The following is a 27294-nucleotide window of genomic DNA, read 5'->3' as shown; positions in this document are numbered from 1 at the left end:
AAAAGCTCTTTAGTTTAATTAGGCCCCACTTGTTAATTTTTGTTTTTGTTATACTTGCTTTGGAGGACTTCGTCATAAACTCTTTGCCAGGGTTGATCTCCAGAATAGTATTTCCTAGGTTATATTCTAAGGTTCTTACAGTTTGAGGTCTTAGATTTAAATAGTTAATCTATCATTTGTAAATTTTTGTATATGGTGTGAGGTAGGGGTCCAGTTTCATTCTTCTGCGTATGGCTAGCCAGTTATCACAGCATCATTTAGTGACTGCAGAGTCTTTCCCCATTGCTTTCTTTTGTCAGCTTCATTGAAGATGAGATGGTTGTAGATGTGTGGCTTTCTTTCCAGGTTTTCTATTATGTTCTATTGGCCTATTTTTGTATGTGTCTGTTTCTGTAACAGTGCCATGTTGTTTGTGTGCACACACACAAATATATATGCAGAGAGAGAGGGACAGAAATTTTAAAGGAATTTTCTTATTGAGCAAGCAGACCAACATACTGGAAATTCAGGAAAGAGTTGATGTTACAATCCTGAGTCATAAATCCACAGGCTGAAAGCTTGGGCAGGGTTTCCATGCTGTAGTCTTGAGGCAGAATTGATTCTTGCTCTGGAAACTTCCGTTTTCACCTCTTACATTTTTTAACTGATTGAATGAGGCTCACCCACATTTTGGAGGGTAGTTTGCTTTGCTCAAAGTCTACCGATTTACATGCTAATTGTGTCTAAAAAATACCTTCTCAGCAACATCTAGACTGTGTTTGACCAAATGGCCTAGTCATGTTGACACATAAAATTAACCATCTCAAATGCTTGTCTTTTTTTTTTTTAATTGTTAGGCTTAAATATAAGCTATACGTGACAATGGAATGGGCAAATAAATAACTGTTATGAACACTATTCTGGCATTCTTTACTAGCATGATATTTATTGAGACAGAAAAATACATAAAACATAATTTGGTAAAAGTGATACTGTTATTTATCATGTATTCAATGTCTTTTCAGGATTTTAATCATCAAAAACATTTAATTTTCAAATCAGTTATTTATATCTTATACTTTTAAATGTTATAGCTCAAAACATCATTTATTGAAGATGTTAGGCATAATTTAGACAGGTCTAACTCTCACATGTCAAACTTGCTCACGTATTCAGGTAAAGGGTCCAAACAGTTTTTGGTAGATGGAAACCGAATCTTAGAAAAAGCTGTTTCTGTTTTCTCCTCTTTGTATTTTTTTTTTTTTTTTGTCTTTTACCCATGTAGGGTAAGCACAGTAAAGCAACTGCTTGTAAAAGTCATGTCAGAAAGAAGCATTAGGAGCATTGCAATATTAAAAACAGCAACAAAATTCTCATTAGTTAGATTGCAGGTTGGGTCCATTACACTTCAACAAACCTAACTAGTTTTTATTCATTTATGAGTCAAGAGGAAAGGAAATTTTTAAAGGAGAAATAGCCTTCACTGCAGTCACAGAATGGAACAATTTATAATTTACCTGAAAAAGTTATAATCTTTCTACTAGGAGGTTTTTAGGAATTCACTATTCATTTATTTATTTGTTAATGGCACAGAAGAGACTATACTATGAAGGTCAAAGTTGCATACCTCTTTATCATAAGACTTAGAAGCTTTAGAATCAGAAAGTGATAAGTTTATAACCCAGGAATTTCAGAATTGGAAAAAAACTTACCCCTTGAGCAACATGGTGAAATCTCATCTGTACAAAAAAAAATACAAAAGTCAGCCATGCGTAGTAGTATGTGCCTGTAGTCTCAGCTACTAGGGAGGCTGAGTGGGGAGGATCTCTTGGGCACAGGAGGTTGAGGCTACTTGAGCCATGGTTGTGCCTTTGCACTCCGGTCTGGGTGACAGAGTGAGAATATGTCTCAAAAACCAAACCAAAACAAAAAACACAAAGGAGAAAAGAAAAAATATACCCTTGAGAAAATGGCTTAGCCTGTTTTAAGCTGCACAAATAACTTCAACCAGCATTGTTTTTAGTAGCAAAAAATGTAGAGAAAATTCAAACATTCATCGATGGAAGAATAGATAAATACATTTGGTATCGTCAAACAATGGATTAAACAAAAAGAAAGACAGAAAGAAAAAGTGCACTTATCTAAATCAGTTAACTTCAAATATACAATTTTAAGTGAATACCAATATGTTGCAAAAATTGGGCAGTACCTGTTTGCTAGTGCCTATATAAGTACCAGTAACAACATGTATTTTTTTAGGAAAGCATGTTTGTAAAATATGTATAAAATCCCAAATGGAGAGAAACATATTCACTCAGCATCTCAGGTAAAAGATAGAAGACATAAGATGGAAATCAAAATAATTGGGTGGGAATCTCTGCAGTACATCTGCAAAGCTTTTCTGTTTTTCTTTTCTTTCATTTTTTGTTTGTTTGTTTTTGTTTTTCTTGAGACAGAGTCTCATTCTGCCACCCAGGTTGGAATGCAGTGACACGATCTTGGCAAACTTTTCCTAATAGATGAAAATATATGAGAGTATACATTATAGTGGTTAAATTAGGGTTATCATTATATGGCTGTCTGCTATATTAGTCTCTATGTGTTTTTATCTGTGCAATCACAATTAAAACAAAAAAGATGATATTAAGACATTATCGTAACAGAAGCAGATATTTATAGCTACTAATTAGGGATATTTACATCCAATTGTACCTTCTACAAAGTAAAGCAGCAACAAGCAGTTGTATTTTATTTTAAATCAGCTCTGCCTTCGCTCATCTTTGAAAAAACTATGTTATCTATCAAAATTCCTTACGCTTTCTAAAAGATCGGTGAATGGTACAGGGTCAATAAAATTCTTTGAAAATCTTAAAATCAAACCAATATACCTTTAGACACAAGCTGAGTATGTTACACTGAATAATAGTGACAAATTAGTGATCAATGCATGTCTAATAATACATTCAAATGCATGCTAATACTTAATCCAATGCATATCCTTATCTTAAAATCAAATAATCATGTGCATATTCAGAGGCAAGGTTATGTTATTCTCTTAAATAGTACTATTTCAAGAATTATAAAAAGCATGCTTCTAACCTAGCGGAAAAAAACATAAGGATCCATGGAAAATGTTTCTAAGGAGAGCTCTCTGATTTATTATGTATGACTATAACAGAGTGCAATTCTATAAATTGGAAAAAAAAAAACTACAGTGATAAAACTGATACAATCTATCTGCTTGCCTATGTAGAGTTGGCCTATAGAGAGAGAGGATTGAAGTCTTATTTCCCCTGCAAACATATACTTTAAAATAAGATTGCTCAATAGCTCCCTGCTGCTGTTATCAGAAGGGAGGTTAGAAATCATACAAGCTCCACTTTATATTTCATCTCCCATGCTACATTTAATAATATAATCTCAAATTAAGGCCACATGGTGAGGCATAATTCTGCTGCTCAAAATAAAAAAAAAATGTCATTTTCAGAAGACACGCAAGGAGAAATTATTCACATATTCCCAAAGTTGGCTTTATGTATATTTTAATCACTCTTATAGAGTAAACAAAGCTCAAACTTTCATCAAAAAGTGAAAACATTGGAAAAAAGATAAGGACTTTTCTCTGCAGTCAAGGTAAATTAATTAGAAATGCAATCAAAGAACTATTTTACTAATATAAATTAATTTAATTGTAACAATTTAGTTGCATTTTTGTCTAAACAAAATAATTTACCCGATTAGAGTAATATATGTTAGTCTGTTCTTGCATTGCTATAAAGAAATACCTGAGATTGAATAATTTATAAAAAGAAGAGGTTTAATTTGCTGATGGTTCTGCAGGTTGTACAGGAAGCATAGCAGCCTCTGCTTCTGGGAAGGCCTCAGAAAACTTACAATCGTGGCAGAAGGCAAAGGGGAAACAGCAAGTCTTACACTGCCAAAGCAGGAGGAAGAAAGTGAGAGTGGGGAGGTGCCACAGGCTTTTAAACAACCAGATCTGGTGAGAACTCTAGCAAGAGAACAGCAATAGAAAGATCATGGTCTTTATAAGGAGGAATATCAGAATTTGAATTTTAACTCTTTTACTTATTAAATATAGCTGCGGACCAGTGTGTTTATACTTTTACAGCAATTAGAATAGTGACTAACAGAAAAAGTTCAAATAATTTTAGCTATTAGGATTACTTTTAAACATTTATTCATATCTTTTTCTGTACATCCTTTAAAATAATTTCATTGTAATGGTCAGTAATGAAATAAGTAGTAATGGATTCATTATAATACTGAAAGTTTACTTAAACAATAAATCCATATTTAGACATACATAAAAGTGGCAATAAAAGTTTATTTAGCTACAAGAACATTGAGATGCACAGTGAGCCAGGAAGTGTACCATATGCCATGTTACACCTGGATGCTGTGTGGTGGCACCTTAATCACTCTTCTAATGTCATTATAGTTCCTGAATATTGGAAGACATATGGTATTTTGCCTCCTTAGTGGCGCATTTTCATCCTAGCTTGGTTGACAGTTATTTACTATTAATCTTCTGCCAGCTGTAAATATGATGTTAAAAATAAAACTTCTCTCTACAGAAGAACTTCCTCTTGGGTGTTTTACATGCTCTCCCTTTACTGGCATCAACTCGTGTCAAGAATTCCATTATCTGTGCTTTTCATCTCATCCTAAGCAATTCTTAATAAAAATAACCATCAGCTCTTTGGTATGAATGCAATATAAAAATTTTTAAAAAATAAAACTAGTTTATTAACTAAAGGATAATGTCCATGCTACATTACAATTTATAAAGTCCTCTCTCCAGTCTGTTGATTCCAAGATGTAAAACTCTAAAAGAAGTTCTTAAGCAGAACTAACCTGAACAAATATCTTTTCACAATGCATGAATTAATGGGGCTCAAAAAACATCATCATTTTATTTGAAAAAGAGTTCTAAGAAGTTTCCAGCCAATGTCAGAATCTGCCTGAGCCTCAAGTCTTCACCTCATTTGATATCAGGGCGTGTGGAGAAAAGGAATGAAGTGAGCGTGCTGTGTTTTGTTGGGTGGGCTCAGGATTAACAAGTGACACTGCCTCTTTCTTAGTCTACTACACGGAAAAAATATATATATATTAAAAAACCTGCCACTTCTAACATATAGTTTGGAAGTCTAGTGACAATGGGATTGAGAGTGAAGGTTTAAAAAATCAGAAATGGTTCTAAAAAGAGCTCCCGGGAATTGATTCACCAAAAGTTACTATCGCACATCGTGTCTTCCCTGCACACTGCTTCTTTCCTGCACGCTTCTCCCCTGCACGCTGCTTCTCCCCTGCAAACTGCTTCTCCTCTACCTGCACAGAGCCTGGTAAGAGGTAGTTCTCTAATAAAAGAGGGAAAGGGAACCCCTAACTCAGAAGAGAGGCGGAAACTGTGGAAATTTATGGCCACTTTCACAGCTGTGGGAAGCATGAACAAGAAAGATGCTGAGAAAATTAGAGGAAGGCCCACAAGGTGACTTAGATGTCTAAATGTCCTAAATTAAAAGGTGGTGTGGCTACAGCGAGAGCACATCATCCATTGCTCAGGTATTGAAACAACAGGCCGGGGGCTCCCCATGACCTGCCGCCAATCCACCCTCACCACCACCACCATGCAGCCCAGAGACCAAGGGAACATAAGAGAGCGGCAGCACTCAACAGCTCCAAGAAAAAACAGACACAGTTTTTCTAGAAGAAACAGTCTAGAAGTGTGCATGGAATTCACCCCAGGGGGGTTACATTAAGTCAAGATTAGCCTGACATGGAAGAGAATGGGATATCCTTTGCCACCACCAAAAGTACAGGTGGTGGACTTGTTTCTGATCACTGAAGCAGGAGTTCTTAACTCTTCCTAGTGATAAATTTTTGAAGCATGCTTGTTAAATGCTAGCATCCCATTGGTATAGAACTTTATGTCAGGCACACAGTGGATTAGACATATTTTTGTGGATTGTTATACACACCTATCAATTGACCACACCAGGGTTCTAGAGAATAAGGTAAATTCTGAGTGACATGTCACTGTTCTATAACTGACAATTGAAACCCAACTTATATATGAGACTGATAAGTTTGATCAGGTAAGATCATACAAAAAAAATGAAGGAAGGGTTTTTGTTTGGTGAGAGTTTCTGAGTAAAAACGTGCAAGAGAAACACTATTTAATGAGAAATAGCTATACGAGTTAGCTAACAAACCTTATCTCCACTTAATCCAATCTTGAAAACCATCGTTTTTGAGGAAAAATCTTCATTACCCACCTGTATCAGTCAGTGTACAGGCAGGAGATAGAAAGCAGACAAGGAGTTTGAACAATTCACTACAAACAACGAGGTGAGAATTGCTGGAAATGCTTTCCAGGCAGACAGAACGTACACAAAGTTCAGATGGAAACGTATAAAGTGCTTTCAAAAACAACAGTTAGCCACCTGGAGGGTAAGTTTTAGTTGTGGCACATTGATAGAGCCTTACCTAACTGTCTAATCCTGTCCTAGTTACTGGGAAGTGGTGAGAAGAAAAACATAAACCAAGACTATGTCCTTAAAAGCCTCATTCTGATAAATAAAGTAATGTCTGATGGTGGTATGTACTATAAAGAAAGGGATGTAGGTAACAGGCTGGAAAGGAAGGTAGTCAGAGGACAGGTAAATTGTAATGAGATTTGAAAAGGTCTTAAATCCAGAATAACAATGTTTGGATTTTGGTCAGTGCATGAAAGAAAGAAACTAAAGATTTTTTTAACATAGATCAATTAAAATATATTTTTAGAAAGGCTAGCTAGGTGTATGCCTACAGCAAGGCCTGGGGAGATGGTGTGAGGAGATGCTTGGCATCCAGAAGCTGATTGTTTTGCAGTTTCAGCAAAAACAGATAAATCACAGATTATCTCCACCACACAGTCTTGCACACCAAATTGTAAACTCCTCAGAAGCAGAGAACTTCTCTGTCTGTTGAGTAATTACAATAATCACTGGCCTGGAATTAGCATTTAATAAGTACTTTTGAATAAATAAGTAAATGTATCATATGCACGTTGTGTGTATATGTCAACCTCTTTCTGAAAGAGTCGAGGGTTTTCTCACATGAGTATTTTTTAAGACATTAGCCATGTTTCATATTATTAAAAAGAACAGATATTTGACTAATGCATATAAAGTGCACTATACTATTACTGCCCCAGAAAAAGAAAAGAAAAGATGGCTCACAGAATTATTCTTCAATAAAATTTCTAAAATTTTATTTATCCTTCTTCAAATAATTGAATCCAAAAATGCAATTACCTAGAACTGCTACACATTTCAAGAATTTCAAGAATTATTATTTTCCAAGTGCAGAATATGCATTTCCATGAACTTAAAAGATCCATACTGATAACTGATGATTAATTTGTGTCTCCATTAATTGGGGACACTGAATATATTTTTCACCACCACCTTATTCTGTGAGAGCACATTCACTATCATAACTGACATTTTAAAAGAGAAAGACACAACTGTTAAAAATGCCCGGGTGTTAGCATTCAAATATGATTGTTGTTACCAAAAAACAAACCAACAAACAAAAATAAAACCCAAAAAACTCTTTTAATGCTTTGAAAGATATGAATTATATTTACCCCAAGGAAAACATGAGCCCGGATTTTGTGTGTATTGTTTCTATGCAAAGTTTCCAGTTGGCTCTTCTTGTAATTCCCTCATTTCCTACATCCCCTGGGACACAGAAAACACAGGATAGTTAGTGTTCAGCATCTGGGTTTTCGTTGGTTTAGAGTTGAGCTCTGAATTCTTAAAATAAGTTTTCATCCCACCACCTGCAATTGATTTGTACCAGTTAAAATATTAATGAAAATGCAAACTAAAGCTTTCATGAAGGTGTTTAGGATAGTATTTGATGACTCTACAAGATGTTTTAATTAAATACTTAATTTATACTTAATTAAATACTTAATTAAACACTTTAAATACTTTAATTAACTGTGATGTGTATTGAATATAGCAAACATGATGTCTAGTCTTTTAGAGAAAATTCTGTGTAATTTACCCTGAAACTCAGCTCTAATCATTTGTAAAACTTTATTTCTATAAAACATACATAAATTCTAATAAACCTACTCAAATTTTTTTAAATTTAATGATTTTTAGCCTACCATTTGTCTACCTTTTCCAATTAAAATGAGTTTATATATTTAAATTGTTAAAAAAGTAAAGTTATTATTTTCTCAGTTATTTTCTGTGCCATTACATGCTAGTCATAAAAAGTATGTGCTCTGGAATAGCTCACAGCCTAGAAAAATAAACAAATTTACAAAAATGTAGGTACATGTCATTTGCACACATACATACACAATGACAATGCAAAGGAAGAAGTGAGGGGTAGTTAAGGGACAGCTTTAGACAAATATAGTTTTGTGGGTCTAAAATGTTCAACATGTCTACTCTGGCATGTCAGAATAAACAATGTTTCAATTTAGAATTCATCTAAGTTACATGAGAGAGCCATTCAGTGTGTAATAGAGCACCTGGATTATTCTGAATGAGTATTTTTGTAATGAAACCAACAACTGCCACAACAAAAACCAGGTTGAAGTCAGAGGTTGCCAGCTGGACTCAATTTGCATTTCATGGAGAATCCTGGGAATTGATTGGATTACCCTTTAAACAGGGGAATACTTTCATAAACTACGCCAGAAAATATGCAGTGGCAATTTTGTAAAATGAACTCAAGAATCTGAGGGTTGTGAGGGAAAACATTTCTTGAAAAGCATCCTAAGTCTAAGCCATTTGAAAAAGTGGGCAGTTGGATATGTAACAATTCTAGAAAACTTAAATACTTTAAACCACAAAACTCTCTTATGAGTTAAATATGCTAATCTTTAGTGATCTGCCACTTCTACAAAATGATATTAGTGAGGAAAATGTATAAGGGCCAAGAGATGAAATGACAATCAACCTACGTTAAGTAAAACATAACTGTTTTTCATTATACATAAAGTAATCAAAATGTTCTCAACAAGAAGAAAATTTTCACGGGTCAAATAATCCAATGATGTACATGATTGGCAGTCTTGCCTGAAATATAATTCTCATTCAAATAGTATTAAACTATGAGAAAAGTGTTCTTATTTATTTGGGTTACTTCAGATCTTTTTAAGGTCATTTTAGGTCGTGGTCATTTAGTCTCTTAATCATATTTTTCCTCCTTCTTTTCAGATTGCAAAAACGACCAAGAACTCTGAAGTTAACTACCAAAAGCACCTGTAAGAATTCCATAGGGAGGCCGAGGCGGGTGGATCACAAGGTCAGGAGATGGAGACCATCCTAGCTAACACGGTGAAACCCCGTCTCTACTAAAAAATACAAAAAATTAGCCGGGCGTAGTGGCGGGCGCCTGTAGTTCCAGCTACTTGGGAGGCCGAGGCAGGAGAATGGCGTGAACCCGGGAGGCGGAGCTTGCAGTGAGCCGAGATCGCGCCGCTGCACTCCAGCCTGGGCGACAGAGCGAGACTCCGTCTCAAAAAAAAAAAAAAAAGAATTTCACAGAAGTGGAAAAAAAGAGGAGGCCGTATACAAAATTGGTCTGTAGAGCATATGTGGAATAGTGTATGTGTTTTTGGGGGAATGCTTGTTAGCGGGGAGGGGGTTATTGATGAAGACAAAAAAAACGAAAGTGCCTGAGAAAAGTAACATTGAATAACTGAAGTTATACCTCAGGTTTAAGCTGAGTGTAAACAAAAGAAAAAAAAGAGAAAAAGTAAGAAAAGAAAAAGAACAGGAGAGGGGAGGGGAAGGGAGGGGAAGGGAGGGGAAAGGAGGGAAGGGGAGGGGAAGGGAGGGGAAGGAGGGGAGGGGAGGGGAGGGAAGGGAAGGGAAGGAAAGGAAAGGAATTCTTGGGACATTCACAATGAATTTTCATGCTGAGTTGTTTCTGATGATTTGTTTGATCTTCCATGTGTGAAATACAGTTTATGTAAATGTTACTTTATTTTAAAATATCTTAATTTTAACCTTACACTCCACTTTCATTTTCTCAAAGTAGAGCTGCAAAAGCTGAATGTGTTATTTAAGATGTAAATAACTGAAGTTTTAAGAGTGCCTAAGGTGAAAGCAACACTTCTGTTGGCTTGGAACCCCTCTCACACCGTTCGTGTGATACGAAAGATGTTTCTATAAACATCTACTATGCCACACAATTTCTAACAGTAAAGTATGGGCAACTATGTTTTAACCATGGAAATAAAATGAACTTTTAAGTTATCCTAAAAAAATGTGTAAATGTAAGCAGTACTAAATGCTGTTAAATGGGATCTTCTGGGATGGTCGTGTCACCCCATCAAGGATTTTGTGCTGGTACAGAAGATAGATGACCCTTCAATTGGCTTATACTGAAATTGGCATTGTTTTCATTCTTCTTTTTCATTCAACATGTGGGTTTTTCTAGTTGCCTTGTACTTATGGTTCTAATAATTTAAAATATCTGGGTTGGCTGCAATTTTTGCCACTGCATCTGTATGGTTCATTATTTTCCTAACTAATATGCCTGCTACACAATATTAGAGAGATAAATATTCACAAATTTAATTCCATTGCAGATGATTTATTAATCTGCAGCTTTTGCAAGCACACAATATTTTTTAAAGTATAGATGTACTTACGAGACTTTAAGGCTAATTAATTTTTCCTCTCATTTATTGAATTCAATTAAATGTTATCTCCATTTAGCAAAAAATCTAGTGAATATCTACTTTTCATTTGGTGTAGAAAATAAAACAAGCATAGCATAGCATAGCCAAAGGATCAGCTGTATTACTTATAAGGGCTCTGTGAGAGACTGCAGTTCAGCGAGATGTCCAAAGGGCAGGCACTGAATAGTCAAATGAGCCAGTCATCCACTGATGAGTGACAGAGGAGGTTCTACCACCACAGCGGAATGTCCACTTCCTGTGTACACCTTGCTCCCTGGTGGACACGAAGGCAGGCCCTGGGTGGAATGCATTTAGTCTTTCTCTTCCAGTGGCCCCTGAACAAAGGAGTAAACCGACAGAAGGTTTTGTGATAACGGAGCTCCCGTCAGGACTGGGGCAAAGCATTGCCTCAGCAATAGGTTTCAGGACTGCAAAGATGAGCAAGGAACTTTGTTTTCTTGCAAGCAGCTCGGATTGCCTGCAAGGAATGCAGCCAGAAAGAGAAGAAACTGCTTTTGCTGAGAAAGTAGGCTGGAATTGCCTGAGAAGATGATATTGTGGTTGTGTCGTTCTATTTTTAGTGATTCTATGTTTAGTCAGAAACGGTGAAGGAATCTGGCTAGGGAGAGAATATTTTAGGCAAGCAAATATTCTCCAGTAATTACAATACATGTTTAATCTTCATAGAGACACCTTCCTTTATCTGTGTGATTACTAATGCCCTCTAATTTCCTTTTTTTTTTCTTTTTTTCTTTTTTTTTTTTAATTACCCAGCCTCAGGTATGTCTTTATTAGCAGCATGAGAATGGACTAATACAGTATATAAGCCCCAAATTCTAACCACCTCGAGTCTCATTTCCTTGTGAATTTCCATGCCAACCAACATAATTAAGTGTTGCTTTCTCTTGTGAATCTGTCTTTTAATGCCCTCTAATTTCTCCTGTCTGCATGGGTCACCCTGCAAAACACTGATCCTATCAAGAGTTTACATTTGTTGAGTGATATGTACTAAGCATTTTACTTAGGTAATATAAATGATCTCTTTTATTCTTCCAACAACCCAAGGAAGCAGTTACTATTATTTTCAAAGCAAGCAGTTATTATTTGCATAGTACAGATGGAAACACTGTTGTGTTGATGTAGGCTAATTAACTTGCATAATATTACAGAGATATTAAATGTCAGACATCAGAAGATGATCATGCCTCCTAGAGAATAACATAAAAACGTTTCAGAGAGCCTTGGACACCAACCGTGATCGGGTCTCTGTCTACCTTTCTAGTTTGCCTCTCATAACCCAGCCTCATTGGCTTTCTTTCCCTTATTCAAATGCTCCATAATCTTTCCTATTAAAGCCTTGAAAGAGTACCTTAAAAAGGAAAACATCTAAATTATTTATTATGTTTTATTTAATATTAAGTATTATATTAGTTATACATAACTACAGTTAATTCTGAGTCATTTAAAATAAAAGTTATTTAATTTTTTATAACATTTAAATTCATACCTTCACATTAAAATTCTGGCCCAATATATTTTCTAAACTTAAATTTCATCAAGTGTATCTACGAACTAAAAGTTCTCTTCTGAAATGATGTCAGATTTATTGTTTATCATATTTTTAAAACAAACATGCTCCTACTTTCATTTGAATTAATTTGCAAAGAAATCTCCAGCATACTACATCAGTTTAGCCTCAGTATTGGACTAGATCACATTTAATTCCAAAACTGTGATATATATGAGTCATATACTTAGTATTGAGATTCTGTTGTAAAAAGATACACTCTCATGGCTTACTCAAGAAAATCTTCACCTGAACAGATTTGGAATTAAAGTGAGCATTTGCTAACAATTAGACCAAACCAAGATCTATTTATTCATTTTTTTCTAACTCATGTTCTTTGTTTTCCACAAATACTGCTAAGCACTTGTTATACTTGAGTCGCCACACTGTGTTCTGGAATTAAAAACGATAAATGATGAGAACAGCATGAAGGTATTTCTACAGTAAGTGACAGAAGTTTAGAAAAAGAACTAGGAACATGAGAAATTAAATGAAAAAATGTATATATAAACTGGCTTTTGAAGAAACCAAAGAGAAATAAAAGCAAAAGGAAAAGGCAAGTCTTTCCGAGCAAGACAATCTTCAGATTTAGGGGTGCAAATGATGAGGACAAACAATCTAATTTTATGAGAATAGAGAGGAAGACAGAATTATTCCCCAAGACTGCATGAGACATTGAAGGTTCGGGAGGGCAAGATAGTGACATTTCCAAAGAATCCTAAAATCAAGGACATTTCTTAGTAGAAGTAATGGAGACAGTGACCCTGTTTATCTCTTCTCCAACATTTAGCATCTTTTTGCCATTTGGAAACTATTTTAAATCCTTTCTCAAATTTTCTTGGAGAAGGAAAGCAATGGTTTTCCCTTCAAACAAGGAGGGTGATTTTCTTTGTTTGTTTTTATTTTTTTTTTTTCTTTGCTTGTGTTTGTTTGTTTTTAGGGGAAGGAGGAGGGTGTGACAGAAAAGGTCAGCATTTCCTGCATCCCAGTCATAGACAGACTTCCTGGATATCTTGGAACTATTTTAAAAAGAAATTCTCAGTCTGAGAACTGAGTTCCTAATGATCCTCTGCTTAGAAAATCACCCCCCTTCAATTCACCCTCATCAGAACGTATCAGCTCATCAGAACCAAAATCAGCTTTCTAAAACTCAAAACGTATCAAGCAATTACACAGCTCAGAATCCTTCAACCTTTCTCTCCGCATGACAAGATAAATTTCCTTCTTTAATATGGCAGGCAACACTGAAATGGTGAGGAGGCCTTGCCCTCCTTTATTCTGCTGTGTGCACAGTGTGGGGAGCAGGGCTGGAACATAGCTTGCTCTCCGCTGGATACTTATTTCCCATGACCTAGCCACTTCCCTGTGCTGCTTTCCACACCACTTCTCTTGCATTGCCGGGGTCAGAGTCCCTCTCATCTCTCACCCGTGCTCTGCTCTCTTTTCCGAGAAGCCTCTTCCATTTTCCATCTCTGCACGCCCCCTCACCTCCCCTCCAGCATTTTCACACCTTGCTGATGCTACACATTTTCAAGACTCTACTAAAGGTCACTTACTCTGTGAAGTTCACCTTGATCTCCTATGTAGTAAAACGTTTCCATAGCGATTTCTACACACTTTAATTATTGCACTTTTCGTATTGCCCTTAATATAGCTTTACATAGAACTCTCTCCCACAAAAGCCTTGGGGAGCCTTCAAAGCAGAACTGAGTTATTCATCTTTGTATTTTCAACATCGGCATAATTCTTGGCATAAAACTATTTTGTTTACATAAAAGCTTTTATAAATTGTTATTAAACACGACTGAAGAGCACTTTTTTCAAGACTCTCTTTTCTGATTGTTTCTGACTGCTAAAATCTTCTTATATTAATAATTCTCTCTAATATAATGATTTGATGTGAGAACTTTTGTGCCCTTGCTCAATAACAATTACTCTCATTAGTAATTAATTGTTTGTTTCTAATGGAGTTTTATAGTTGGCTTAATCCATTGGTATATCGATATTTTGTGTTTCTTAAGAAGATAACCTATCTGGAATGAACATAACCCTGGGGCACAAGAAATACACTAATTTTCTATTATCTATTTCTAATCATCAAAATAAGAACTGAATGGAAGATAAGATACCTTGGTGATGGTTTTTAAGACACCAATCAGTTTTTGACAGGGCTCCTTTCAAGAGATGGAACTTAATTTTGGTGTACTTAATGTGGGCTGGACTTAGTGACTTACTTTTATTAAATTTGAGTTCAGACACGATCATATGCCCTTCTAAGATCGGGTTATAAATAGACTATGGCTTCCATCTTAAGTGCGCGCTCTCACTCTCATGCTTGGATCACTGATGCTGAGGCATCAATGCCATCTGCAGCCTATCAGGAGACCCACATGGCAGGGAACTGAAACCTCTTGCCAACAGTCATGTGACTGAGCTTGGAAGCCGAACTTCACTAAGCAGAACTCTGGCGTGTTCAGAATCTGAAGCGCAGACCTTTAGTTTGACTGCCATCTCATACGAGCTCGTGATTCAGACCCACGCAGAGAGTCTGCATCTAGACTCCTCAGCTTTATAAACTGGGGAAAATAATACACTTTTGTTTTTATATGCTGCTAAATTTTGAGGCAGTTGAAATACAACAGTGCTAAATTATGTACTCGCTACAGAATTTAAAATTCACCTTAATAAAAATAAGTAAGTAAAGGATTGAATGAAAAGAATAAATGAATAAATGACAGACGAGGTCATTAAAGAGTTAGCCTTTATTTTCCTATCGTATGTAATTATTTATTTATTTTTTAAATTTTAGATATAGAGTCTCGCTATATTTCCCAAGCTGGAATGCAGTGGCTATTAACAGGCACTGTAGCCTTGAAGTCTGAGGCTCAAACAATACTCCTGCCTCAGCCTCCCAACTAGCTAGGATTACAGGTGCTCCATCATGCCTGGCAAAAGATAGCTTTTAAATTACTAGTATACACAATGCATTCTTTTTACAAGAACACTAAACCATTCATATATGTGTATATATATATATATATATATATGTTTTAAAATACATTTATATATACAATTCATAGAGTAAATGCATTTAAAATAAATCTCTGTATATAATGAATTCAAAATAAATAATATATGCTTGTAAATATAATAAATATGTCACATTATCCCAAAAGTCTAGAGTGCTTCTTAGCTTGATGTATGTTATCATGTGCACTGAAAATAATACAATTGAATATCTTCAAAGATTTTTAAAAATTCCTTTAACAGACAGCGTTTGTTGATTTGTCACAGCCACCAGTTATATTTTATACTTCGGAAGATACAAGAAGGGATTTGGAAAACTTTTGTTCTGTATTTAACTTTGACTAATGAGGATAAACTTCCTGATGACATAAAACAGTAAATACTTATTGATGATATAAAACAATAAAAACATGTGATTCTTTAATTACAGTTATTGGCACAGAGTAGTTTAAGTGACATTAGTCATTGTCGTTGTTATAACCAGTATTAGTATCGCTAGTATTTGTAGTAGTAGCATTGATGCATTTATACATCATTTCTTCACCAGTGGAGTAAATTAGGCAGATACATAGATGTCAAATAAGTTATAGGTCTCTCTCAGCTTTATTCCAAGTGTCACAACTCTGTGACATACATATTTCCACAACCTAGAAAGCTATACTGGTACCATTCTTTTTTCTCATGGCACATACTAGTTGTTTAAGCATCGTTACATCCTCATCTGCTTCCATACACTTATATATAAAAATATGATTCTGAAGTTGCCATTCTTTATTTCAAAAACCTTGCCTTCACTGTTCTTTAAAATTGCGCTCTTCAAAATGAGTCTATCTCTATTTCCCACCCTGACTTCTCACATTTTGCCTAACATAGCATATATTCTAACTTCATAAAACAATAATTTAACATGTGGTGCTGCTTATACTTCTATGACAGAAAACACTGTGATAGAATGCTCCTGTCTTCTCAATTTGTTTTTAATTATTTTTCAAGACCTTTAATGACACCACATCTATGGTCTCTCAGCAAAGGTACTTGCCCTTTATCTCCAGAGTACTTACTAGGTTGGTGCAAGAGTAAATGTGGGTTTTGCCATCACTTTTAATGGCAAAAACCATAATTACTCTTGAACCAACCTAATAGTATCCTTTTTTTTTTTTTACAGTTGATTGATTGTTTGCACATTTATTTTCTAATAATTATGGTTTTAAATGGAAGAACATGCTCTAAGTCATATTTACCCCCAAGACCTAGGATTAAACTCAGCTAGTAATTCCATTATAACACTTAACATGTGTATTGCAGATTACATTTCATTCTAATTTTTCAGTCCCCATAATGAAAAGCTCATATAAACAAATTTTTATAAAGTCTAGTTAAGAAAAAATATTTTAGAAAAGGTGCACCTAGTGGCTTGTGCAAAATACCTTCCACAGTTTGACATCAATTAATTCTCCTTGGTTCTTGTTTAACTAGCTTTAATTCCTCTATCTTGATCATATGAATACCATATAAGAAATATCATTTTTTTGCACTAAAATACATGTTACAATTGCTATAGTCTGAGTGTTTGTGTCCCACCAGCATTTTTATGTTGAAACCTAATCCTCAAAGTAATTGCAGTAAGAGGTGGGGCCTTTCAGAGGTGATTACATATCGTAAGGGCTTTGCTCTTATGAATAGCATTGGTGCCCTTATATATAAAAGATGCTCAAGTGAGCTTGTTCACTCCTTCTGCCATGTGAAGACATACAGCAGACGTCATCTATGAGGAACGGGGGCCCTCAGCAGACACTGCATCTGCTGGAGCCTTGGTCTTAGACTTTCCAGCTTCCAGAATTGTGTGAACAATAAATTTCTGTTGTTTATAAACTACCTCATCTAAGGTGTTTTGTTATAGCAGCTCAAACTAACTAAGATAATGCCTACTGAATTTCTTTAATATTTCAAAAACATAAGTTACCTCTGCCAGCCTTTTGAAAAATAAATTATTGAAATAAAAAAGAAAAGAATGCATCATATCTGGTTTCTTATTATCACTATATTAAAACAATAAATAGGTGGCAAACATAATATGTCTTCATGTTTTAAAATTGTTTTTCTTAGCTCCTTGAATTCTAAAGACTTATGTAAACTAGTAATCTATTTTTTGTACTTCAAGAGTAGTATCATTTTGTCACATGCTTTAAAGATCCATGTTTACTCCCAAATTTATTTCTCAAATTTTGAAAGTGTATATCAAACTGCATATTCAATATTCTACTTTGATTTTCACTCAACATCTCAAAATTAAAATGTCCAAAAAAGTATCTTGATTCCCTATGACCTAAAACTTTTATTTAATAGTATTCTTCACCTCAGGAAATTCAGACCTTTAGTTGTTCAGGTCAGAAAATGTGGATATATCCTGTAACACTGTCTTCACCTCACTCAAGTTAAATGTAACAGCAAATACTTTCAGCTTTACTTTCAAAAGGCTTCCAGAACTTTCCACATTTCATCACTTTCACTTCTACCCTTCTGGTCAAAATTACCAAGATTTCTAGTAGTTTACTGTTCCCTGGTTTCTCTGATTTGATCCTTGCTACCATTCTGTTTAGTCCTCAAAGAAAAAAAATCAACATTTTAAAACGTTTCAATTCTTACTAATGGTTCTCATCTCAGAAGAAAAAACAACGAAATATCTTATGTTAATCTAAAAAACCTTCAGTGACCTACTTGATCTCATTTTCTACCATTTTCCTCCTCTTTTTCTGAAATACATCAACACAGAGCACTTTTCCTCTCCTTTAATGCACAAAGATGGCAGGACTTTTGAATGTTACATTTATTTATCTTCTTCTAGAGTGCCTTTCCTTATACACCCATGTGACTTGTTCCTCCCTTCCTTCTAGTCTTTGTTTATATATATATTATTATCACAGAGGGCTAGGAAAGAAAACACCCACTGCTGCGCCCCACACTCATCCACCTGCCCTGTACCACTTACTTTGTTTTGTTTTTCTCTGTAGAATTCATGACTTTTTGAAATATAATTTTTTTAATGTGTACATACTTTATGCTTTCTCTCATTCATATGTAAAGTCTGGAAGACACAGACTGGTTTTTTTGTTCACTGTTGATGCTTCAGTCCCTAAAATATGCATAGCATGAATTGCCACTTTTTAAATTAATAAATCTGGAACATTGTTAAAATTCAAAATAATCTAGATGGACTTCTTTCTTTTTTAATGGCTATATAGTTTTGCTTTTATGGATATTTTTTCATTTATTTGCTTATTTCCACTTGGTGGTTATTTATTTTGATTCCCAACTTTAACTAAATGTTTTTATTATTTGAATTTTTGTATAGATATTTAAACGCTCTGCTCTGCCTCAGCCTCTGCACTTCCAAGTCTCTTTCTAGAAACAACCATTTTAATTTCTTAGCTTTTTCATTTGGTGTTTATGTCCATGTTGTCAAATAAGTTGCTTAGACTGATATTTTTATTTACCCTTTCATTTTCAATATTGTCATGAAAAATTGTGCCCAGAAGCACAAACACATACAGACACACACCTTTATATCTATTTTGCAATTGGTTCTTGCAATTTATGGGTAGGGGTAAGCAGAATTCTTGCACTATTCTCATATCAAAAAGATACATATCCATGTAGAAATATTTTAAGGAACTTTTTTTTCTCTTCTCCCATTGATAAGAAGACAATTAAATGTTAATCCTTCTAAATCTAATGGTAGAGGAAACATCCAAACTTGACATTATAGAACATATCTCCACTTATGAGAGATAAGCTCTACAGACACAAGTTATGATTTATAATGTATTTTGAAGTACCTAGTCCTGACATTATTTTTGTTTTTTTTTTTTTGTTTTGAAACAGGGTCTTGTTCATTACCCAGGCTGGAGAGCAGTGGAATGATCATAGCCCACTATAATCTAGAATTCCTGGGATCAAGCAGTCCTCCCTCCTCGGCCTCCTCGGTAGCTGGTACTATACGTGTGCATCACAATGCCTGGCTAAATTTTTTATTTTTATTTTTTAGTAGAGACAAGGCCTTGCTATATTGCCTAGGCTGGTCTTGGACTCCTGGGCTCATGATCCTCTCTGCCCAGCTTCCCAAACTGTTGGGATTATAGGCATGAACCACCCTACCCAGCCCCTGGACATGATTCAAAAGAACAAATATTAAATATCAAATTCTCCATTCACATGTCACACAATAAGGCTCCAAAAAGAATTATATCTAAAAGCTTGAGGGAAAGATGATAGAACAATGCTACTTTATCTACACAATCAATCAAATGAGCATGTGTTTATAAAATGTAAGAAAAAACAATGCGCTTGTATTTTTTATTATGTATGTGCAGCCTTGAGTATGGACGTGTGTTGCCATGCACAATTTTTTCTTGTACATGAATGTGTGATTTCAGTATTCATGAAAACTACAAATGCTATTATCTTCTTTAATTTTTCATCATTTTGTAAGGTTGAAGAAGTCTCAGATGCTACCCAGCAAAAAGAAAGAGGACTTCCAAAGAGAACATCTGTCTTATTGGCAATGCCTTTCCTACTTATGATTTTAGCTTTGAAATTACCTTTGTGTTTGGCACTTCTGAGATGGACTGAATTGGTGATTTTTTTTTTTTTTTAATTTGAAGAAACAACTGACTTCTATGTCATATTCTGACAAATATAATTATGTAATTTTAGAAAGGCAAACAGGCCTTCTTAACATTCTTTTGCATCCCACCATAGAGGCAGCCATTTATTTGATATATAGTAATTGGAACAAGATAGACAGCAGTTGCCATATTCCTTTAGAAATGTGCTGTGTGGGCCTGGTGCCACCCGCCCTCCCGCCTGGCTTAGCTATCACTCCTGTTCACATGCTTCCTTTCTTAATTAGAACTCAAATATGCTGACAATTTTTCTTGCTGTAAAATTGCCTCTCTCTCTTCTTCGTGTGGGCATCTGTATGTTATTTTATTATGAAGAAAATCTTGGATCTCTTACAGAAATAGAGTTGCTGTGACAAGGAAATTGTATCCCTATCTAGCAACATATTATCTCATCATCTCAGGTATCTTACCTAACCATAGACCCCTGTGATTATCTATTTCTATTGAAAATTGAAGTGTTTCTTTTTTTGTAATGACAAAATCAAATGAAAGAACAGATCCTTTATTCATCTTAATTTACTCAAATATAGATTTCATAAACTTGGAATGAATAAGATGCTAGAATAGAAAAAAAGCAGTGACAACATGTAGCTCCAGTTTTTCTTAAATCTTTTGATTTAAGGTACAGTGTAATTTTAAGAGGACGACGGTTATGAACGAAAGAATAGATAAGCATATTTTAGCATCAGCATTTGGTGAAAACATCTAAGAAATGGTATCGTAGTTCTAAAAATCTAAATTTTGGTTTCAGCAAGGAATGTTAATAAAAAGACTGTGTAGCTCAAAAGCTAAGTAGAAACAATGTAAGTGAATGGCTTGCTTGGGACTAGAGCACTTTTACTCTAAAGGCAATTCCATAAGGACATGAAAATATGAAGCTCATATGTGACATGTAAATGTGCATGTGGATCAAAGGATTCTTTGGATAAATTCTTACTACATAGGTACCTTAATATTAGGTTACCTGTTTTCTCAAGATCAGAATATGTCACCTTCCACTAAGAGTAATAAGAAAAGTGATCCCAAACAGAATTGGAAGTCCACAAGCTTAAGAAAAAGCATTAACTTTGGCAAACATATCTTTGCTCCATTTTTAAAACCAACTCCAACAGAGTATATTGTTTTCATCAATTCTGAGAAGAGATGACTATAATATTGACTGTCGCCTCATGTGTTTCTGGGCACAAATAATTGTTAAGGAAGCTTCAGCACACTTTTTCCGAACTAGTTTTAAAGAGCACAGATCTATAAGGTTCAGTTCAAACCATAAGCAGAGCAAGGTATTCAATATAATGAGATCTCCATCAATGCCTCACTTGATAGTTAAGTAAGAACAGCTTTATCTGGACAATATCTTCATGGCCTTGATCAGCTAGGAATATCAGAATAGAATTCATCAAAGCTAATTTTCAGTCCTAAGAACAATTGAGTAATACCTTTGAAAAAGAAAAGCAACCAACTTAGGATAGCTTTGCAGAAATGCTAGTGATCAATACATATTTAAAGCACTTAATGCAGACAAGCATACTGAAATATCACTGTTCCTAACAGAAAGATTTATAAATAATTATCTTCATATAGTCATGGAAATTAGGCACCAAATTAATCTATTTTCATTGGTTCCCTAAGGGACTTGAGACATTCTAAGTTTCCTGAGTCTTCACAGAGATGAAACCCCTGAAGGGTTATCCCACATCATTAAATTAATAAAACTATATAAGCAAGTCTGTTTTTTAAAAATTCAAGTTATCCTTCTATATTAGTGCATTTTCACACTGATAGAAAGAACTACCTGAGACTAGGAAATTTACGAAAAAAAAGAGGTTTACTCACCATTTTTGGGGTTTAACAGGAAGCCACAGGAAACTTACAGTCACAGCGGAAAGCAAAGGGGAAGCAAGGACCTTCTTCTCATCGTGGCAAGAGAGAGAGCTAGAGAGAAGGGGAAGGTACCACACATGTTTAAACAACCAGTTCTCGTGAGAACTCTATCATGAGACAGCACCAAGGGGATGGTATTACACCATTAGAAATCACCCTCATGATCCAATTACCTTCCACCAGGCTCCTCCTTCAACATGTGGTGATTACAATTTCACATACAATTTGGGTGGAAACATAGAGTCAAGCCATGTCACCTTCTCATTCTATATTTCAGTTCAGACTATATCAACTTACTGCTCACATGTCTGGTCTAACGAAATTGTTTCCTATTAAGTGCGTGGTGACAGCTTGAGAATCACTGACAGTCACTGAACTGTGATGCAGAAAATGACCCACTTTAAAATGGGTTAATGATCAAACATCAATGGGAAAACTCACTGAAAAAAAGACAACTTCTATTGGTAGTATTGACTGCACAATGGTCAACTGACCCCTTCCTACTTTCTAAAATAATAGAATTATTCTTTTAACATTTAATTCTAAAAGTTGTGTTTTCTAGACTACTGTCCACTCCACCCCTGTTTTGAATATTAACTCTTCTAGATTTTCAAATCAACCCACTTGTGCTCTTCATGCTACATTACACATCTACTTGTTGGTGTCCTATTCACCACCATCTTGAACAGATCATTCTCTTCACTTAAATCTTTCTGATTTCTCTCCTCTTTACTTTTGCACATATTCTTCTTAGCATCGTTGGCATACCTAGGTAACAGTATCAGATTTTGACTGATCGACTGTTATTCTGTCACCGGACTTAACCATTTGGCCACACATTTAAAAGCCCAGATAAGAAGCTTACACTGCTTTGGTAGGACTAGTGTTGATGACTCTAATTGTAGATGTGTTTCTCATTTGCCTTAAAAATATAAACATACAAATGAAGTTACTTTTATTCAAACTTGACAAATTTGACATGTTTTATAGTTTCAAACATGGTATTTCACTATCTACCTCTGCTCCCTTTTTCACCATCTTCTTTAAAAAGACTTTATTTTAGACTGGGACACCCACTACAGTGAGGAACTGGAGTCCCTGGTTCATGTGCTAATGAGTACAGACTTAGTCAACTTATGGAAACATTTATGGGGCATGGGGTGGAAACAAAAAGAAACAAGCAAACAACCACTTGAAATAGCAATTAAATAGTAAGGGTACCTTTCTATGATTTTCTCTAATACAATATTTAAAATTGCTATTCAGTTTGCATGTCATCCATCACCAAGAGAATTTCTTATGCTGCACTTACACTGTGCTCAAAAAAATCAGTATTAGCAGTGTCTCCATTCTCCCGGCTGTCTAAAATATAGCAATCTGACTTTCAAATGGAGTTATTTTTATTAATTCATTTCATTGTTAGATATAAAAATCAAACCAGCATACTTACTTTCCTTTAATTTAATGCACCATGATACCAAGGGTTTTAATATCTGGACTCATGTTTTACTTTAAAAATAATCATACATACATAACCTCTAACTTACAAGCTATTTTTTTTCCTTTCAAAATATTTATAGATTTGGGGGCTACAAGTGCATTCTTGTTATATGAATAGATTGTGTTGTGGTGAAGTCTGGACTTTTAGTGTAATCATCACCTGAATCGGTTAAGTTGTACCCAATGGGTAATTTCTCATCTATCACCTCCATCCTACTCTCCTAAATTTTACAGTCTCCAATGTCCATCATTCCACTCTGTACATCCATGTGTACCCATCGCTTAGCTCCTACGAATAAGTGAGAACATGAGGCATTTGAAACAGTTATTATTAAATTCTCTCTGTAACATAATTCCCTTACCAGATTTTTGGTGATTAAAATAACAAAATACATATTCAAGACAGATTAAAATATCAGTAGATCCAAGTTTTTTATTAGTTTCTGCTAAATCACTTATTTCCTTGAGTTTGGGAACAAGAAGACACAGGCTCAGATATGCATTCTTGTTTGTAAATAGCAGTTCCTTATGCTGGCTTGTGTAGTCAGGGATGCAATTTATTTAAGGATATCAGATGGCTCTTAGAATCAACAGTGTAGAGAACAAACCACACACACACACACACACACACACACACACACACACACACACACACACACAAGGGATACTGGGCTGTAGGACCCACATTCAGGTCATGATGCAGAACTTATCTGAGGGCACTGATACATTACCAGTGAACTGGCCAACAGGCATTTGGCATGGGCACATTGGGCTGGCAGAGTGTAGATTATATGGCCATAATCTGCCTGCCAGGGAGTAGAGAGGGGGACTTACAGTGTATAAGGAAAGGTGGGAAACAGTCTTCATCATAGTCTTTCATCAATAGTCTTCATGATCACAAATACCTACATACATGAAAGGAATTCACACCTTGGGAGGCAAGCAAAAGACATCACCGCCGGGTAATATACACTAAAGAATAAAAACCTGAATGGCCTTTTCTTCCTGCTAAGTAATAACACCACTTCACTGTTGTTTTGTTCATTATACATGAAGTTTGACTGGTCATGTGCCCTAGATACTGCCCTAGATACTTGGTGCCCTAGATACTGCCTTCAAATGAGTATTTTAAAAATTTGCATAATGTGTTCCTTCATCTTCAAAGGAACCCCAATATTTAAATAACACATTAATACACTTTCTTATTGTGGTAGACAGAGTAATGTCCCCCCACTCCCAAAGATGTCTACATCCTAATCTTTATACCCAATGAATATGTTACCTGAAACATATTCTTACCTGAAAAACATATACTTACCTGAAATATCTTACCTGAAAAAGAGGCTTTGCAGATAGGATTAAAGTTAAGAACCTATATAGGGGAGATTATCCTGGATTAACTAGGTGGGCTCAATCTAATGACATGAATTCTTGAAAAGTAGAGAGCCTTTCCAGCTCTAGTCAGAGAGATTTGATAATAGAGATGGGATTAGACAGATGCAGAATTATTGTCTTTGGAGGTGAAGGAAGGAAGCCTTGAGCCTGGGAATGTAGATAGCCTCTAGAAGTCAAAAAAGGCAAGGAAAAGGATCCTACTTATATATTCCAGAAAGCAGTCAGCCCTGCCAATATCTTAAGTGAAGCCCAGGGACAGCCATTGGAATTCTCACCTCCAGAACTGTGAGATAATACAATTTTGTTCTAAGATGCTAAATCTGGAGTAGTTTGTTGCTGTCGTAATTCGTTATTGCACCAATAGAAAATAACAGTTTCTCTAAGTAGTAAGTCTTCTGCTCCTTGCATTACCTGTGCACCAGGTGAGATTCAAGAAGAGTAAAGGATTTATCACAAAATGAAATTCAGGTGTTAAACAGCTAAAGTGACCTAGCTCTTCTAATTTCCTGTAACAAAGTTGCATGGGTGAAGTAATAACACTCTTCTACTGCACATGCCTCACTGAGAAATTGACAGTTTTGAGAACTACTTTACACCTCATTTACCATTTACCTGATACACATTGTTAGGAAGATTTTCGGAAAAATAAATTTCAAGCTGCTTATTTAAATCTATGGTTTAAAAAATGAATATAAATGTTTGTACCAAGAGAAAGGCTAGATTTTATTATCTAATCTTATAAAACTTATACCATTATCTCTTATGTAAGAATTATCCAGCATACAAAATGGGAGAGGAATCTTCATCTCAGGGCTAGTTTATGTTGCAAGTTGCATGCTCTGTATGCTCTGTAAGACAGTGCTATTCCAATAGAAGTAATGCCCAAAACCAAAAGATGAGGAAGAAGAAGAGGGGGAGGAAGAGGAGGAAGAGGGGGAGAAGAGGATGCACACTCTAATGAAAGCATCTTAGATTTGGAAGAAAGTTTAACAAAAGTTGTCTCTAGCACTTCCCCATACTAAAATTATATCATAAATTAGTAAATTCAGTGTCCAAGGGAAATAATATATGGACAATTATTCTTCCATGATTGTCAGTCCTTGATAATGGAAAATATTGTGGATGGATCCAATTTCATATAATTATCCATGGTGACATTGTTTAATATTTGAAATATCCATGATTTTCCATTCTGTTTTATGTTAGTTTTTGAACTTGTAGTAATATACCCATTTTGCAGACATGAAAAATACACATACTGAAATTGTAGATTTTGTCTCATCAAAGAAAGAGAAACATATGGATGAAATAATGACAAATCAACTTCATCTTTAATATAAAAATAGTGTACTAAAAAATCAAATTCCATTTAACAAAAATTTCACTACATTACAACTGAAAATAAATCCTTAGACACTTAGGAAAATATGTTGAAAGAGAATTGCCTACGTTATTTTCCTAGTGTAGCAACTGTACTGTTCGATGTTTCAAACCATTTCCAAAACATTTAAATAAATAATACTTTTGAACATATAGAGGTCTTCATCCAGTACAACAGCAGCTACAACTCTTTTTCCGCAATATATTTGACTTAATTATACCTCATTTAGACTGTCCTTTCAGTTAATTACTTAAAAGACTTTTAAAAGATTGCTTGTATTTAAATCCTGAAAACCAATCCTATATTTCTGTGAGACGCAGACTGCCAAGGACTTCATATCTTCATATTTTAATAATTTTTGCAAGTATGACATATATAAACACAAAAGCAGACATAGCTGTATAGCTCAAAGAATTTTTGTTTGTTTGTTTGTTTGTTTTGAGATGGAGTCTTGCTCTGTGGCCAGCCTAGAGTGCAATGGCGTGATCTCGGCTCACAGCAACCTCCGTCTCCCGGGTTCAAGAGATTCTCCTGCTTCAGCCTCCCGAGTAGATGGGACTACCACACCACCACTCCCAGCTAATTTTTGTATTTTTAGTAGAGACGGCGTTTCACCATGTTGGCCAGAATGGTCTCGATCTCTTGACCTTGTGATCTGCCTGCCTCTGCCTCCCAAAGTGCTGGGATTACAGGCATGAGCCATTGCGCCCGGCCCAGCTCAAAGACTTTTAACGACATAAACACCATCTAGACCACGAAATAGAATATTTTCAGCACCACAGGTCATGCTTCCTATGCTTCCTACCTTCTCCTAGGTGGCTCTTTCTTCTTTCTCTTCTTCCATGAGGGAACCACCAACATGATTTTTAACACTAGATATAAATTTTGCTGATTTTTGACCTTGTTTATATGTCATAACGTGTCTGCTTTCACATCTCTCATCTTAAGTAGAATACTACTCAAGATTCATCATGTTGCATGTAAAAGACTTTCTATATTTTAATTTAATTATTATTCCATTGTATAAAGAAACCAAAATGTATTCACCATTCTATCTTTATAAGCATTAGGGGTGTGTTCTGTTCTTAGCATTTGCTGTTATAGTCTTCTCTTTCATATATGTCTTTTGATACGTATAATATGTATTTTTGTGCATATGTAACCA

The 27294-nt window shown here is 35.2% G+C and overlaps 1 long non-coding RNA gene across 1 annotated transcript; it reads right to left on the bottom strand.

The window, feature by feature from the left end:
- Positions 1-6094: 6094 nt before the first annotated feature.
- LOC107985134 (uncharacterized) lies at positions 6095-26608 on the bottom strand. The gene is made up of 2 exons (XR_001753488.1): positions 21806-26608; positions 6095-7724 (listed from the first exon to the last, which is right to left on the bottom strand). It is a non-coding gene; the product is annotated as an uncharacterized LOC107985134 (long non-coding RNA).
- Between the last annotated feature and the right edge of the window lie 686 nt (positions 26609-27294).

The sequence above is a fragment of the Homo sapiens genome, chromosome 18, assembly GCF_000001405.40.
Source record: "Homo sapiens chromosome 18, GRCh38.p14 Primary Assembly".
Classification (NCBI taxonomy): Eukaryota; Metazoa; Chordata; class Mammalia; order Primates; family Hominidae; genus Homo; species Homo sapiens.
The sequence above is the reverse complement of the archived record's forward strand: the minus strand, read 5'-3'. Positions and strand labels throughout refer to the sequence as shown.